Source organism: Homo sapiens, chromosome 13 (genome assembly GCF_000001405.40).
Source record: "Homo sapiens chromosome 13, GRCh38.p14 Primary Assembly".
In the NCBI taxonomy this organism is placed as follows: domain Eukaryota; kingdom Metazoa; phylum Chordata; class Mammalia; order Primates; family Hominidae; genus Homo; species Homo sapiens.
Genome location: NC_000013.11, coordinates 113223681 through 113239362, shown reverse-complemented (window position 1 = coordinate 113239362; position 15682 = coordinate 113223681). Strand labels below are relative to the sequence as shown.

The 15682-nt window shown below is 46.6% G+C and overlaps 1 protein-coding gene across 11 annotated transcripts in view; it reads right to left on the bottom strand.

Annotated features, from left to right (window-relative positions):
* Positions 1-15682, bottom strand: part of CUL4A (cullin 4A) — a 58916-nt gene that overhangs the window by 27746 nt on the left and 15488 nt on the right. For 6 of the 11 annotated variants that reach the window (NM_001278513.3, NM_001354938.2, NM_003589.4 and 3 more), the window contains exons 4-9: positions 11318-11387; positions 9844-9917; positions 6024-6186; positions 5377-5466; positions 4218-4300; positions 2473-2540 (exon numbers count right to left, since the gene is read on the bottom strand). In NM_001278513.3, the coding sequence (NP_001265442.1) occupies positions 2473-2540; positions 4218-4300; positions 5377-5466; positions 6024-6186; positions 9844-9917; positions 11318-11387 (548 nt within the window). Of the gene's footprint in view, positions 1-2472; positions 2541-4217; positions 4301-5376; positions 5467-6023; positions 6211-9143; positions 9722-9843; positions 9918-11317; positions 11388-15682 lie in introns of those variants that run through there. The other 5 variants (NM_001354944.2, NM_001354943.2, NM_001278514.3 and 2 more) reach the window with 4 other exon arrangements.

Sequence of the window (15682 nt, the reverse complement as noted above, 5' to 3'; positions counted from 1 at the left end):
CGTGCACCAGAAGAACGTCAATACACCGCTTAGAAATTGGGCGGGTCTCCACATCGCTGCCTCTACATGAGCAGGTTGATCTGGTTAAATATGTGAGATGGATCCTATTAGGTGAACCTCATTTTCTCTGAGTATGTTGGAAGATGTATTATTTACTTCTTTATGTCATTGAAGCCCTCTTATTTCACTTAAGTTAGCAAGTCAGAAAATCCAGTTTACACCAACTATTTAACCTGGGAGGTTCATGTTCTCAATCTACTTCTGATTTAGTCCATCGGCCAGACAATGTAAAAGGACAAGCTATCAAATCTAATTTATAGTGGATTAAATTTATTCACACCTATAGTAAACTATAAGAGAAAAACATCATCGGATATTTTGAAGTGTTTAACACAGCATTTAAAAAAGCTTTCAGTGTTTTAGATTTTTAATATTTATAACGGTTTTCTGAAACCATACCTCAATGAGAAAAACTCTCATAGATTTTCTAAATACTTGCTTTATGATAACTACTGAGAGGCAGCCAGGTTAAAGCATAAAATGGTGAACAGTCATACAATTCACAAAGTCTCAGATTCTGCCTACACTGGGCACGATGTTCACACAAACGAGGAGGTTTAAAGCTGTGCGCAAACACATGGTGGGGCTATAATTACAATCCTCACCTAGAGCTCCAAATGTTTATTTCTCTCAATTACATTCTGATCTACTGACACAAACTTTTTATACTTTATTTTACTAAAACCCATGTCTTAAGAATTCAAAAGTATCTTTTTAATTTTTAAAATATTTCTAATAAAATTTAGGGTAAGCTTTTACATATATAATTTACCATTTTCTTTAAATAATTTTGCTTAACAAAGTATGCACTGGAACAATTTATGCAAATTTCTACTATTTACTTGAAATCTTTTTTCTCTTTTTTTTTTGAGACAGGTCTCTTGCTTTGTCACCCAGGTTTTTGTAGTTTTGTAGCCTTAACCCCCTGGGCCAAAGTGATCCTCCCACCTCACCCTCCTGAGTAGCTGGTACCCTAGGCATGCACCACCTGTGGCTTTAAAAAAAAATTTTATTTTTATTTTTTTGGTAGAGACAGGGTCTCTCTTTGTTGCCCAGGCTGGTCGTGAATTCTTGGGCTCAAGTGATCCAAAGTGATACTTTGGCCTCCCAAAGTGCTGATGTCACAGGTATGGGCCACTATGCCTGGCCTTTTTTCTTATAAAGTGACTCCTTTCATAAAAACACCTGACACAAATTCTGAATGCATTTGTTTTTAGGTGGATAGGTGATGTGTAGGTTTCAGTGTGGAATAAGCAGAAACATCATAACCAGATTGGACCCGTGACTCTCAGCTCACAAGCAATGTGATTCCAGGCACCAACATCTGGCTGTTTTAAGCCCTGGTTTTCTTATTTGTAGAATGGGGATAATGATTTCACAGAATTGCTTGAAAAGATATTCACATCAAGTGGAGTTGTTTGTAACAGGAGATGCTCAATCATGTTAATTCTCCTCCCTTTTGGTTTTATTCTGGTTTCACTTAAGTATCTCATTAGCCATAATACTATTATCTGACAATGTAGAACCCAAAGCAGAATATATTTGAATACCATTTAGGGCCTTCTCAAAATTAAACTTTAAGGTTTCCAATGGCTTGAAAAAAGTCTCGTATTTTCCAAATACATTTAAAATGACTTTCAGAAGGTAACATTGTTTCAAATGGTAACAGTGAAATGTGCCAGTAAGTACTAAAGTGTTACAAAGGTTAGACTGCTCATTGTAATTTTCATAGAATTCAGCACACTTTGAAGCCTAGAAAAAACAGCAATAAACAAAGATCGAGGTAAGACATCAGCATCAATTTTAAAGGTGCAGGCTGCTAGAAGCCACCTTCCTATGGCCAGGTACTGCCACCACTTGGGGAGAAGCGGACGTGAAGGCCGCGCCGTCAGCACTAGAACACATGCTCTTCTCTTCCAGAAAACCAGGAGAAAAGTATACTCTGCTTAAGCAGACCACCTAGTCGGTAGTTCATCTGACACTAAGATGCACGAAGTCCGCAGGTGAGGGAAGCCTCACGAAAATCTAACAGCCCGAACAGCTCCCCGAGTCCCCTACATCCGAGTGTGCATGAAGAACGGCCGGACACAGGAAATGAGTCTGCTCAGAGAGCTGCAACAGGCTCACTGCACCCATGTTTCAGCATGAGTGTGGTACAGAAGGTCTGCCGGGCCTTCCTGCCACTGGGGTTTTAGCAGTGAATGTAGTTCCACTAGGTGCCTTCCATTATTTCTCTTACTGATTTTTTTTTCTCCCGTGGATGGCTAACATGTTCATTAGAAAAGATTTTTAATGACTGTCTTATGAAAATAACAAACGTCCTAACACTGCTATTTGTAATGCCCCCTTTACTTTCCTAATGAACTAAGGATAATTGTTCAGTTTAATTTGCACAAGAGTTAGGAAATCTACCTTTCTGCAGAATTGCTGTTAAATGTTCTCCTAATAGCTGTTTCTCCACACAAGCAATCAGTGGTTTCCTATATAAGGTAAAAAGAATAAGCGTTAGAAGTAAAGTTTAAAGAAGAGACTGGTTCTCTGCAAAAGATGGGGGCATTTGTCTATGACAGATGCAGTCTAGAGGCAATCAGAAACGGAAGGTTAAGAACATTTCCTCATGCAAACGGACGACGACTCCTGTTGCTAATGACGCTGAAGGAAGCCCTTTCTAAAAACCACCTACTGAACAGCACAAGCAGGCCCACGGGCGGGCCCAGGGAAGCAGGGATGCTTCTGCGTTATTCCAAGGATTGCTGATTTTAGCCATCTTCCCAAGCCTTCATTTCCAGTTTATAAGGAACGTTTTAATGCACCATCTTACGGAGAAGGGCAGAGCCGACATTCCGCCTTCTGCTTCCTACACAGGCAGAAAGGGCTCAGGGAAGCTGTGTGTGACCTGCACACCCTGGTTGTGGGGCTTCGCTGTGGCTGCCGCTCTCTCCACTATTTCCCCCGGACTTCCCTGGCTGCTGCTTCCCAGTCTCCCGGGGGCTGCTCTTCTGCTCCCAGTTGGAAGGAAGCACAACATGGCCCCCGAGCCACCCTGGCCTGCCTCGAGATCCTGGATTTCCCACAGGCTCCTCCAACTCCACACGTCTAAGTGACCAAATCTCTTTTTCTGCACCCTCTCTGTTTTTGTGCTGGATTCTGTCAGAATCCTTCCCCTTTCCGCACCTTACTGAGTCCAGTTCTGCACACCATATCATTTTCATCTCTCCTCCTGTTTTCTCTGCTGAGTCCTACCAAGTCCTGTTCTGCACATCTGTACATTTTATCATTCCCTACTGGGTCCAGTTCTGCACACTGTATCATTTTCTTTTTTTTTTTTTTTTGAGACGGAGTCTCGCTCTGTCGCCCAGGCTGGAGTGCAGTGGCGTGATCTCGGCTCACTGCAAGCTCTGCCTCCCGGGCTCATGCCATTCTCCTGCCTCAGCCTCCCAAGTAGCTGGGACTATAGGTTCCCGCCACCACGCCCGGCTAATTTTTTTGTATTGTTAGTAGAGACGGGGTTTCACCATGTTGGTCAGGATGGTCTCGATCTCCTGACTTTGTGATCTGCCCACCTCAGCCTCCCAAAGTGCTGGGATTACAGGCCTGAGCCACCGCGCCCAGCTGCACACTGTATCATTTTCATTTCTCTCCCTTGCTGTCCCCTCTGCCTCTGTCCTTGCCTCCCATCATATGGACACACTGTGCCTGACACACACGCTCACATAATCTCTCCCTTTTTGTTTCCCTAGCTACTCATCAACCTCAGGTTTGCAGGAAAAAAACATAAGATGAAAAGAGAAAATTGTGTGACAGCACCATAAATAAAATTAAAGCGATATAAAATGTGTAACAGAGAATGCACAATCAAAATAACCTAATATTCAGTGATACTCCATTAACATAAATAGACCGTCTCAAAACTCAAAGATGCCAAGTATCTCAGCAAGATTTACTCTCTTTAGACGTAACTCATGACAAGGCACTGGGTAAAAACTGTAATTTGTGAATGCCAAATAATGACAAATAACAAAGTAAAATATGCTAGGTGCAAAAACACTCTTAGTACTGAATGAATTGACAAAGACACCCTTTATTTCAATAACCAGCCAGGAGAACCTTCCAGCCATGGTGAAGATACGAACGCTCAGCGAGCAAACGGTACTTACTGTGTGCTGTGGTCCAAGTAAGTGATTACTCTGTCTCCCTCTTCCTCTAAGCGTTTACTTACATGGTTAAGATATTCTGGAACCTTACAAACAAAACAATTAAATGTATCAGTAACAAAAAGAATGTCGACACTATCCAAGAAATTGAGATTTTGTTTTCCTTACATGTAATTTTTTTAAAAAGCAGAATACATATTCAAGCCAAATATTAACACAGATTAACAGGGAGGGAGAGGTAGGACGGAAATGTGTGTGGGGGACATGGAGAAAGGACGCTGATATTAACATCCATCCTACAACAGGGCCCAGGCTGCACTTCTCTTTCGTCCCTGTGCACCACCAAGTTTCGGGGTCTGTGCACACCCTCCTCCCATCCCCAGGGCCCACAGGGAGCTGAGCCTCACTTGGTAGGAGGATGAGGTGCTAAATGGCAACCCTGCCCCGCACAGCTGGGTCAGCAAAAGCAAGTCAACAAGGTGGTTGTTCATTTGGGGGACACCAAACAACACGGTTGCAGGAGACCTCAAAGTACGCCCATGTTTCCCAAGACAGTGCGGGAAAGGCCTGAGGCTCTGCTGGGGTAGCTGCAGCTGGGCTCAGTATCTGACATGAAACTTCCTCTGCAAAGCCAGAATGAAGGAACCAATGGCTAAGGTCCATTCTGGCAGTAGCACGCACCATTTGGGTGACAGTCTATGGGGCAGGTTCCTTTATGATTTTGCTCTGGTATCTGGAAAGGTGATTAAGTTTTTTGGGTTCCTATTACTACTACATGTTTTTTCGCACAGCTTTTTTTGGGAAAATTTTTTGCAGTGCTTCACACAAATGAAAAATTTTATCATTTACATTTATATTTTTAAGTTTTCATGTATGTTTTTATCATCTTGCTTAAATTTGAGTTATTTTAATTATTTCAGAAATGATCTTACAGCTTTTTACTTGTGGGGGGAGTGCAATAGTTTCTAAGTTCACATAAACTAAATTCTTAGTATACTAAGAACGAAGCTCATTACTGGGGATTCTGGCAAGATTGCAGCTTTCAGAAGATTTTCAATGAAACATTTGCATGTGTGTGAAAAGGCAAACATGAGGAAAGTCCTCCTAGGTGCTCATCTGCAGAAACGAAGCCAGGGGATTCGGAAACATCCCATCATCTCACCTCTCTTTCCTGCATTAACCTTTGGCCTTCGGCAGCATATAAGCAATTAGTCTCTTCCAAAAATTTCAGTTCAAATGAATCTTTATACACCTAAGAAACAAGCAGAGTTACTGACCAATTTCAGTAAAGGAAACTATCTTCACAAGTGCTAACACATCCCAGTTTCTGACGGGGCAGGCTGCCATGACCTGAACTTGGAGGCGCCTGTGGCCACCCAGCCGGCCGGCTGCACTGTCCTTCCCAAAACGGCCGGGCAGGCCCTCCTCTGTTCTCTTCCTATAGTGCCTTGGGGTCCTATTGCTCTAAAGAACTTCGCCCTTTGTCTTTTGTGTGTGTTGCTAATATTTTCCCCCAGCGTGTCATCTGGCTTTGTCTCTGTTTATATTTTCCATGAAAAACGTGCATTTTATGTAGTGATATTGATCTATCCGTGCATTTTATGTAGTGATATTGATCTATCTTCTCTTTTGTGGCACCTGGTGTGGTGTTAGCTTGAGCGCTATTCCCCTTCTAGGGATTTTAAAGACTCTCCTATCTTCAACAAATGCCTTTATGATTTCATTGTTTAACATCTTTGGTACAACCATTTATTCTGGTGCAAGTAGCTGGGCAGGTACCCAGGTATCTTCCGCACAGGCAGCACTCACCTGCAGGTCAGACAGCATGCCCAGGAGGCTCCGCAACAGGCTCCGGTCCACGGCCTCGCCGCTCCTCTCGCGCTCGATCAGCAGTAGGATTCCATCAATGGTTTTACTCTGAACCATTTTATCACTAATAATATGGGTTCTAAACAGTTCTAATCCCATATCCCTGTATAGACAGTAAGAAACAGGACTACATTTTAGTTTCGCTTTTTAGAAGTTATGGGTGAATCTCCAGCTATGCTATTCAATATCATCCCAAAAATGTGAAGTTGCTAATTCTCTACATCTAGGTGCCAAGAATTCCTTTTAAAAACTTCTGTTTCTCAGCCAGTCTAGCGCGCCTTGTATTTCCTTCCTTAAACAGAGCTGCTCCACGTTCCTGGAGACGCTGCTAGGTCATGCATGCCACTGACAGTAAAACTGGTATCACACAAGCTGCTGGCAGAAGCCCGGGGTCCTCGCCACCTTCCTGCTGAGCGACGGGAGACACTCAGGCAGTTGGGCACCACGACCCTGCCTGCCCCACCTGCCCCTCCCGCCACCGTCTCCAACAGCCCTCAGGGTACACTCTCTTCCCAGTGTCCTCTGCTGAGCACGTCCCAGCAGCTTCCCTTCTCCAAGCCCTGGGAGCTCTCCTACCAAATGTTTGCTGCTTTCCCCTGAGAAGAGAAGGTGATGCACAGCTTTCAGAGTTCATCGCAGTCCTCAGCTCATGGCCTGAGGAATGTTAGGAAGATGGTTCAGCTGCCAGTGGCTGTCCACAAAACCCATCTTGTGGGCTCTGTGCTTTGCTTCAACACTCCTACTGTCCCCAGTGGCCAAGTACGCCATTAAGGAGGGGCCAAAAATACAGATGCTGGGCTCCAGCCAGAAATCCGGAATTGGCACATCAGGGCAGGAGTGGTGCTGGTGGTGGCAGTAATAGTAATAGTGGTGGTGGTGGCAGCAGTAATATAGTGGTGGACAGGTGGTGGTGGCAGTAGTAATAGCGGTGGTGGCGGTGACAGTAATACTGGTGGTGGCAGCAGCAGTAATAGTGGTGGGCGGGTAGTGGTGGCAGCAGTAATAGTGGTGGGCGGGTAGTGGTGGCAGCAGTAATGGTGGTGGGCGGGTAGTGGTGGCAGCAGTAATGGTGGTGGGCGGGTAGTGGTGGCAGCAGTAATGGTGGTGGGCGGGTAGTGGTGGCAGCAGTAATGGTGGTGGGCGGGTAGTGGTGACAGTAATGGTGGTGGGCGGGTAGTGGTGACAGTAATGGTGGTGGGCGGGTAGTGGTGACAGTAATGGTGGTGGGCGGGTAGTGGTGGCAGCAGTAATGGTGGTGGTGGTGGTGGCAGTAGTAACAGTGGTAGGCGGGTGGTGGTGGTAGTATTATTAATAATATTATGGTGGCAGTGGTGGCAGCAGCCGCAGTGGTGGGTGCCACACAGGTGTGCAGAGGGCCCTGGGAGCCACCTCAATGGTGGAGACGTGCACCTCCCTTGACTGCCCACATCACCATGGGCCTCTCCTGTTGCTCCCGCGTGTGCTGCACACCAGGTCTTCTGTGCACTTCACCACAGTTGGAGCAGGAAGGTGCAGTGGCCAGACTTGTGGGCTCGAGGCAGCTGCCTGGGTTTGAATCCTGGCCCTACTACTTGCTAGCTGTGTGACCCTGGGTGAGAAGCTTAATGTCTCTGTGCCTTTCCTTCCTGAACTGTTAAAATGGGGATCAAATGTTATTAGTTCCTGCCTCTGAAGCCCTTGGGGCAGTGCCAGGCAGGTAGCCAGTGCTTAGGAAGGCTTAGGTCTCCACTTGTGTGACTCTCTACCCTGCCACTGGGATCTTCTCTTTAAAACATCAACCTCAGCTGAAAAACCCTTCAGGGCCCTCATCAGCTCTATCCCTCCCCACCTCCCACTCCCCACACAGGCTTCTTCTGGTCATGCTGCCGTCCTAGCCATCACTAGCAGGAGATACTCGGCTTTGAACTTACTGCTTCCTTCTACTCTTTCTTTCTTAGCTGCCTGACCACCTTTGCTCATTCTTCAAAGCACAGGCCAAGGTTCACCCTCAGCCCTCCTCCCCATCCCAGAGATGGACAAAGTATCTCCTCACCATGCATTGCCCACACACACCTCAACCAGGATTCTTCTTGTAATGATGCTCACGTTCAGGTTTTTAGCCACTTGTGGTAGACTGGAGGTGGTATCATTTATTCTATTTTATAAACAATGTTTATAGTTTGTATGACAGTTATGGTATAAACTATGTTTATAAATTAAGAGTTTAGTGTTGGGCATGGTGGTTCACACCTGTAATTCCAGCACTTTGGGAGGCTGAGGTGGGAGGATCGCTTGAGGCCAGGGGTTCGAGACCAGCCTGGGCAACATAGCAAGATCCTGGCACTACAAAAAATTTTTAGAAGTTAGTCGAATGTGGTGGTGCGTGCCTATAGTCCCAGCTACAGGGGAGGCCAACGCAGGAAGATCACTTGAGCCCAGGAGTTTGAGGCTGCAGTGAGTTATGATTGTGCCACTGCACTCCAGCCTGGGTAACAGAGTGAGACCCTGTCTCTAAAAATAATAATAATAATAATAATAATTTTTGAAAAGCATTTAGACTATGGGCCAGACAACTGAGGTAGGGCAAGTTATTTTAACTTATGTGCCTTAGTTTGTATAAAATAGGAGTGACAATGGCCACGCCACAGAGCTGCTCTAGGGATTAAATACATTAGTAGGAAACAGTCCCTTGCACAGAGCAAATGCTAAATAATCTGCTATGATCACTTTTATCATCTCCATTCTTTCCTGGAACACAGGCTGTCTTTTCTGTGCAGCGTTTGCCTTCTCGTAGACCACATGGATGCCTACTAGGAGATGTTTGGGAGTTCCATGAGGAAGTTAGAAGGGCAAATGGCATTAATGGGAGCTTCAACAAGGACAGGGTGTCCAAAATTGTATAGATGTTGTATAAAATAAGGACAAAAATGCTTGCTGGATTTGGTAACTGGCAGGTCACCGACATCTCAGACAAGAGCAATCTCTACATGGCGAAAGCAGAAATCACATTGCCTTGGGTCAGCGTGCCCAGTGGGTGGGGTAGGAAAAGCAGGCACATTTTAAAGAACTTGGGTTTAAAGCTCATGAGAAGGCACGACATCACTTTTATGTATGAATGTGAGAAGAATGAAACACTACATTAACAGAGAACAAGACAAATCAGACGGTGAGACCGGACACAGCTTTTGTCCAAAGTCGGCTTGCAGGAGGCGGCAGGATTCAGCGCCATGGGGTGGCCACAGAGGACACACAGGGGTCAGCAGAGGACATGTGGGGTCCGTGGCCGCGAACGCTGCTGAGGAAAGGCCCCAGAACCCCTGGTGTATACAGTCCCCGAAAGATGACGGACGATGAGTGCTATGTGCTCAGGAGGCCGGGAGGCTGAGCAAGCCATTCCACAGGGGACGCACAGCCTCAGGGCTGCGACCCCACGGGCAGCAGGCAGTCTTTCTCCGAGTTTCAACTGCAGCGCTGGAAAGAGCCGCTCCAGGCTCAACCTCCAGTCGTCAGAGAGAAACCAAGACCCTCTGTCTTCACCCTCATGACCAAAGTCAGCCGCCTGTCCGAGCTTCCTGCTCCACTCCTTGCTGCTGGCTAGACACCTGGTGTTTCAAGGCTAAGACCCACCTGGACTCCTACGTTCACGTTAATGATTTTGGCTGAAGAAAGGAAGGCACAAGTAATCACACACACTTTACCATCTTAGCCTGCGGAAGACACAAACGGGACGAAAAGCATCAGCTGCAGGGAAGACGCAGCTCTGCGCTGTGAGGACACTCACCAGATGGAGGGCAGCGTGGAGTTCTGCAGCACATAGGTGCGGTCCAAGAACAGGAAGATGCTTCTGATCATGATCTGACCAGCAGAAAGGAGAACCATTTACTTATGAATTCTACTAGCAAAATATGAAAGATCAGGCCTTTTAACTCCATGCTAGCTGTCTCAAATCCAACAGCTGTTTCCTGTCCACCACAGCCCTCATGTTTTATTTTTTTTTTCTAAAGTTAATTTTGTCCCCTTGGTATGTGATTTCCATCTCTTTAATATTGTAAATCTGACTGTAGGAATTTTAACGCACTTAGCCTAAAATGGTATCTTTTTTTTCTTTTTAAAGAGATCCTGTGTTCAGCCAAGGCCTAAAGGATATCTTTTAAATTTGGTCATTTTTCTTTTTTTTGTCTTGAGACGGAGTCTCGCTCTGTCGCCCAGGCTGGAGTGCGGTGGCGTGATGTGCAAGCTCCGCCTCCTGGGTTCACACCATTCTCCTGCCTCAGCCTCCCGAGTAGCTGGGACTACAGGCGCCCACCACCCCACCCGGTTAATTTTTTTTTTTTTTGTATTTTCAGTAGAGACGTGGTTTCACCGTGTTAGCCAGGATGGTCTCGATCTCCTGACCTCGTGATCCGCCCGCCTCGGCCTCCCAAAGAGCTGGGATTACAGGCGTGAGCCACCGCGCCCGGCCTAAATTTGGTCATTTTTTTGACTGATGTGCTACTTCTTACTAGATTAGGGAGATGCACTTAGCTTTTAAAACCTGAGTTCCTGTTACATGATGAGGCTCTTGGACGTGTGTCTCTGACTCTGCGTTGCGAGCAGAGTGAGGGATGCAGGATGATCCCTGGTCCTGTCCTGTGCTCCTACCATCGAGCCCACTACCTGGCTGGGGAGACTTGTGAACGCATCTCACCAAACCCTTCCCAACAGACCCTCAGCGAGCTCTAGCAGCTGCCAGCTACCTGGCCCAGAAAAGAAATACACCCATCGTCTCCTACTGATATCATTTAGAAAACGGAAGATTTCAACCTACTTAGGAAAGCTATTAATACGGTCTGTTCTCTCACTTAAGTAATTAACGGCCAGGTCACACTAAAAATGTATACATGACGTCAAGTCAAAGCCAAGACATCTACAAAGCCTAAGACGCTGGTTGTGCAGCTGCAGGAAAGACCTGGGATTCAGGCTAGATTCTGAGGAGTAAACTGTGCTTAAAGAGACATTTAGAGACCCATGCAGGCATCTAAGAACCCTGTCACCACTGCGGACTGTGACTGTGGACCTGAAGGCCAAGAGGGTCAGTGGTGCCCTCTCACAGGAGCTGAGGAGTTCACCTTCCCTGCTTTTCTCATCGTGCTGTTCAACCACAGCACTGAACACAGACAGAATCCTCAACAGAACTTCTATGTCTCAGCTCTCAATCATGTGGGTGAGGGAAGATGGATGAGGTCGTGTTTTGATGAAAAAGTGAACAAGCTTACCATTTGTCTGCAGTGGTCCTGCCAGCACGTGTTAATCTTCTTTAAAAATAAAACACTATCTAGTGAGTCTGTACAGATCTGCTAAGGAAAACTTTAAAAATGCTGGCCAATTTAATTATTACCTTTTTTTTTTTTTTTGAGATGGAGTCTCGCTCTGTCGCCCAGGCTGGAGTGCAGTGGCACGATCTTAGCTCAGCAGTGCAGCCTCTGCCTCCCAGGTTCAAGCGATTCTCCTGCCTCAGCCTCTTGAGTAGCTGGGATTACAGGCGTGTGCCACCACGCCCAGCTAATTTTTTGTATTTTTAGTAGAGACGGGGTTTCACCATGTTGGTCAGGCTGATCTCGAACTCCTGACCTTGTGATCCACTGGCCTCAGCCTCCCAAAGTGCCGGGATTACAGGCGTGAGCCACCGCAACCGGCCATTATTACAATTTTAACCCCTTAATTTCAGCTACCTTCTCCACTGAATACTACACACCATTCAGTAACTGGAATACTGAAAGAATATTAGTCTTGAATGTTCATGTCCCCCCAAAATTCATAGGCTGAAGCTCTCACTCTACGGTAATGGTGTTAGGAGGCAGGGCCTCTGGGAGGTGATTAGGTCATGAGAGTGGACAAGCCTCAAGAATGGGGTTACAAAAGAGACCCCAGAGAGCTCCCCTGCCTCTTCCACCACATAAGGATGCAGTGAGAAGGTGCTGGCTATGGACCAGGAAGCGGGGCCCCACCAGACATGCAATCTGCCAGTGCCTTGACCCTGGACCTCCAGCCTCCAGAGCTGTGAGCAACAGACTCCTGCTGTTGATGAGCCACACTCTATGGTGTTTTGTCATGGCAGCCCCAGTGGGCTAAGATACACTAGAAGTTCAATCATGGATCTCTGTATCTCATCACCAATGTGCACTCAGCTTGCCTGTGCTGCTTTCCCTTCCCACGGCCCCGCCTGCCTCTGGCCGCTCGCCACTCCCTCTCCAGCCTCCCTTCATCCTCTCCTTCCTTCACTGCCAGACACCTTCAAGTCCCTGCCGGCAGAAACACACCCAGGCCTTAAGTGCCCTGGGGGTAGGTGGCGGGACAAAAGGCCCCACTTCACAAAGGGCAGACACTGAACATACTCCCACAGGGGGGCTCCTGGAGATGGTGACTGGCCTGGTAAGAGTCACTAGGACTATTTTTTAAAAATTAAAAGAGATGGCACCTCACTATACTCCTAGGCTGGTCTTGAACACGTGGTCTTAAGTAATCCTCCTCAGTCTCCCAAAGTGCTAGGATTACAGGTATGAGCCAGTGTGCCCAGCCTGTGGCAAAGTGCAGCTGGACAGGAAAATGGCTCAGGTTTAACTTCCAGCCTCAATGAAAACTAACATGAACTCTCATCCATGCACCAAATTAGGAACACTCTTACCTTGACTCTTAGAATGTGTATTTTTAGGAAAAGGCCCAAAAAGTAGTTTAGGACAAAGAACCCAGAATATGGGCTCCTAGAGCAAGTGGTCTGGTGTCCCTCAGGTTCATGCAAAGCTGAGAATCATCAATGACAATAAACTGCTTTATGGTTTACGAAACACTCTTCACATCCACTCTCACTGAAAATCTCCCCAACCTCGTGGTGCAGACATTGTTCCCTTTGTACAGATTAAGAAAATGGCTTGTCAAAGGGGACAGAACATGGACTTCCTACATTTTAACTCTTGATCCACCGCCTGTCAGCAACACAATACTGGCCAAACCAAGGGACTTCTCTAGGTCTGTTTCTGCCGTGCAGCAAGACACTTCACACTCAAGAGCCAATGTGAGGTGGTGACAACATCCTCACACACAGAGAGGAGGAAAAACACATCAGTTAAGTAGGATGCACAAATCAGACATGAGCTGGAGTCTCAGGGTGGCAACGAGTGGCCTGACAAAGAAAGAGTGCCAGGGAGGGTAGGGTGCCAGGCAGAGCCTGAGGAGGAATAAACAGTGCTGAGGATAGCCAAGGGGCTCCCGGGGGGTCTGAGTCCTTGTCACACCAGGAAGTGCTGTGACCAAAGCTACAGGGGCCTGGCTAAGACAGCTTACTCTATTTTTTCTTGAGGCTTTGCAGAATTCTCAGAAGCACTGCCAGAAAATTAAAAACAGACACTTACAGCAAAGACCTAATGGTTGAATGGTTAACAGGTTCCTCTGGAAGTACTCTTTACAAATTGTTCAAAATTATAATGGCTCATTATATTAGGAATCTACAGAAACAGTCTGGACAAAACAAAAAAACCCATCCCAAGTGCATCTGGACAGGCTTCAAGGACCCCCAACAGCCATCCTGCAGCTCTGACTCCAGGAGCTGGACGGGAACTGCGGCCTGGACCTCCCAGCAAGCCTCTCTGCGGGCAGGCGGGCCACAGCAGCCGAAGGCGGAGCTTTGCTTCCAGATGAGGGTGCACAGATCCTTTAAACTTAACGGGGTTAAACTGACACCAGTCAATCTGACACCACTGGGCAGCTCAGGTGTTGTGAAGACAGAGTTCCACCTGGGGCAGTGTCTTGTTAAGATGGAAAGTCCAATGTAAAGTGTTCATTAAATGAGAAATACTTCCTCTAAAATAGCTCTGTAAAATCAATATAGATCCTCAATCAATAATTTTTTTGTTATTTCCCACAGAAAAAAACTACAAAATGGTAAGCTAAAATCAGTGTGGCATTTACTAAGTAAGCTTTGGCCTTCTAAACATCAAAATCAATTCCATATTCTGGGATATAACACATAGCCACAATGGTGTGCAAGTAATTCCAGGATGTGAGACACACAGACACCGTGAGTCTGTCAATAGTGTATTCTCGAGATAGGTTCTTCAGCAACCATCCTTTTTCTCACTTCAGAAAAGGGCCAATCTTCATTAAACGATTTATACAGCCTACTGAGACGAGTTAGGCAGGTCTTCAAACAGCAAACAAAATCCAACAGCAGAAATGCTTACACCATAGAAAAAAACCTACCTATCATATCTGTAACTAAAAAAAAAAAGAAAAAGCAAAAAGACGGTGCTTCTGTTGGGGTAGAAGAGGGATACATACATTTTCTACACTTGGTTATCTGCTTCTGCAATTCCAGGAACAAGTGGCCCATCTGCTGCCTGTACCGACAGACCGGACAGACCGCGAGGGGACAGCCCTAGGCCGACCCTCATTCATCCACACAACCCATGAAGGCAGGGGTGCTTGTTTTGTCTCCTCTGATCTGGCCGAGCATTAACAGGGTTCTCTTGGGCTTTCGTCTCTTCATCTGGAAAATATGGTCAATAAAGATACCTACGGCTCAGGGTGTTGTGAGACAAAGCAATTCATGAATGTGCAGAGCTTGGCCTACTGCCAGCAAGTGCTCCGTACACGATATCTGGTCAAGTGAGAACAGGCACAAAGTCTTTCTAAGGAAAGACAAAGCCTGCTGTCGCCAGTGCGGATCATAAAGGCACACTTAGAGGAAACTGGAGCTTTGCAACTTCCCCAACAGCCAAGGTTCCCAGCTCACTCCCGTGCCCTTCCCTTCTGACCACACGGCTATCATGGTGTCCACCACTGCCTGGCATTCTGTGGCTGACCAGAGCTGCAATGCTGTCAAGGTGAACCAGGGGAAGGAAAATGTGAGTTTCATCTATAGTTATCTACAGGTTAGATTCTGAGGACAGTTGGCTTGACATTTTTTTTTTTTTGAGATGGAGTCTCGCTCTGTCACCCAGGCTGGAGTGCAGTGGTGCGATCTCGGCTCACTGCAAGATCTGCCTCCCGGGTTCATGCCATTCTCCTGCCTCAGCCTCCCGAGTAGCTGGGACTACAGGTGCCCGCCACCACGCCCGGCTAATTTTTTTGTATTTTCAGTAGAGACGGGGTTTCACCGTGTTAGCCAGGATGGTCTCGATCTCCTGACCTCATGATCCGCCCACCTTGGCCTCCCAAAGTACTGGGATTACAGGCGTGAGCCACCGCACTCTGCGGGCTTGACATTTTTGAAGAGCTCCTGTTGCCCACGTAGCTTGGCTGGGTGGCACGTGGTCCTGCAGCATGTGGTGTGGGTTCTGCAGCAGCTGCCTGTGGCTGAGCATGTGTATGAGTGCAAGGGTACAAATGGCCTTTATTTTGAGGAAGGGACGTCACCAAGAGCAGCTATCTATTTTGAAACGGACAGCTAAGTGCAGAATTTATCAAACATGTGAGACAAGAAAACGGATGTGGTAAACGAAGAAGATGGTAGTGAATGACTCAATTCCACAAAAGCCCTTTTTCTACCTGCACATCTGATGGGTTTCATCTATAATCTAATATCAGCATACAATCAAAATATAATCGGTACATAACATTACTTAAATCTGGCCGGGCATGGTGGC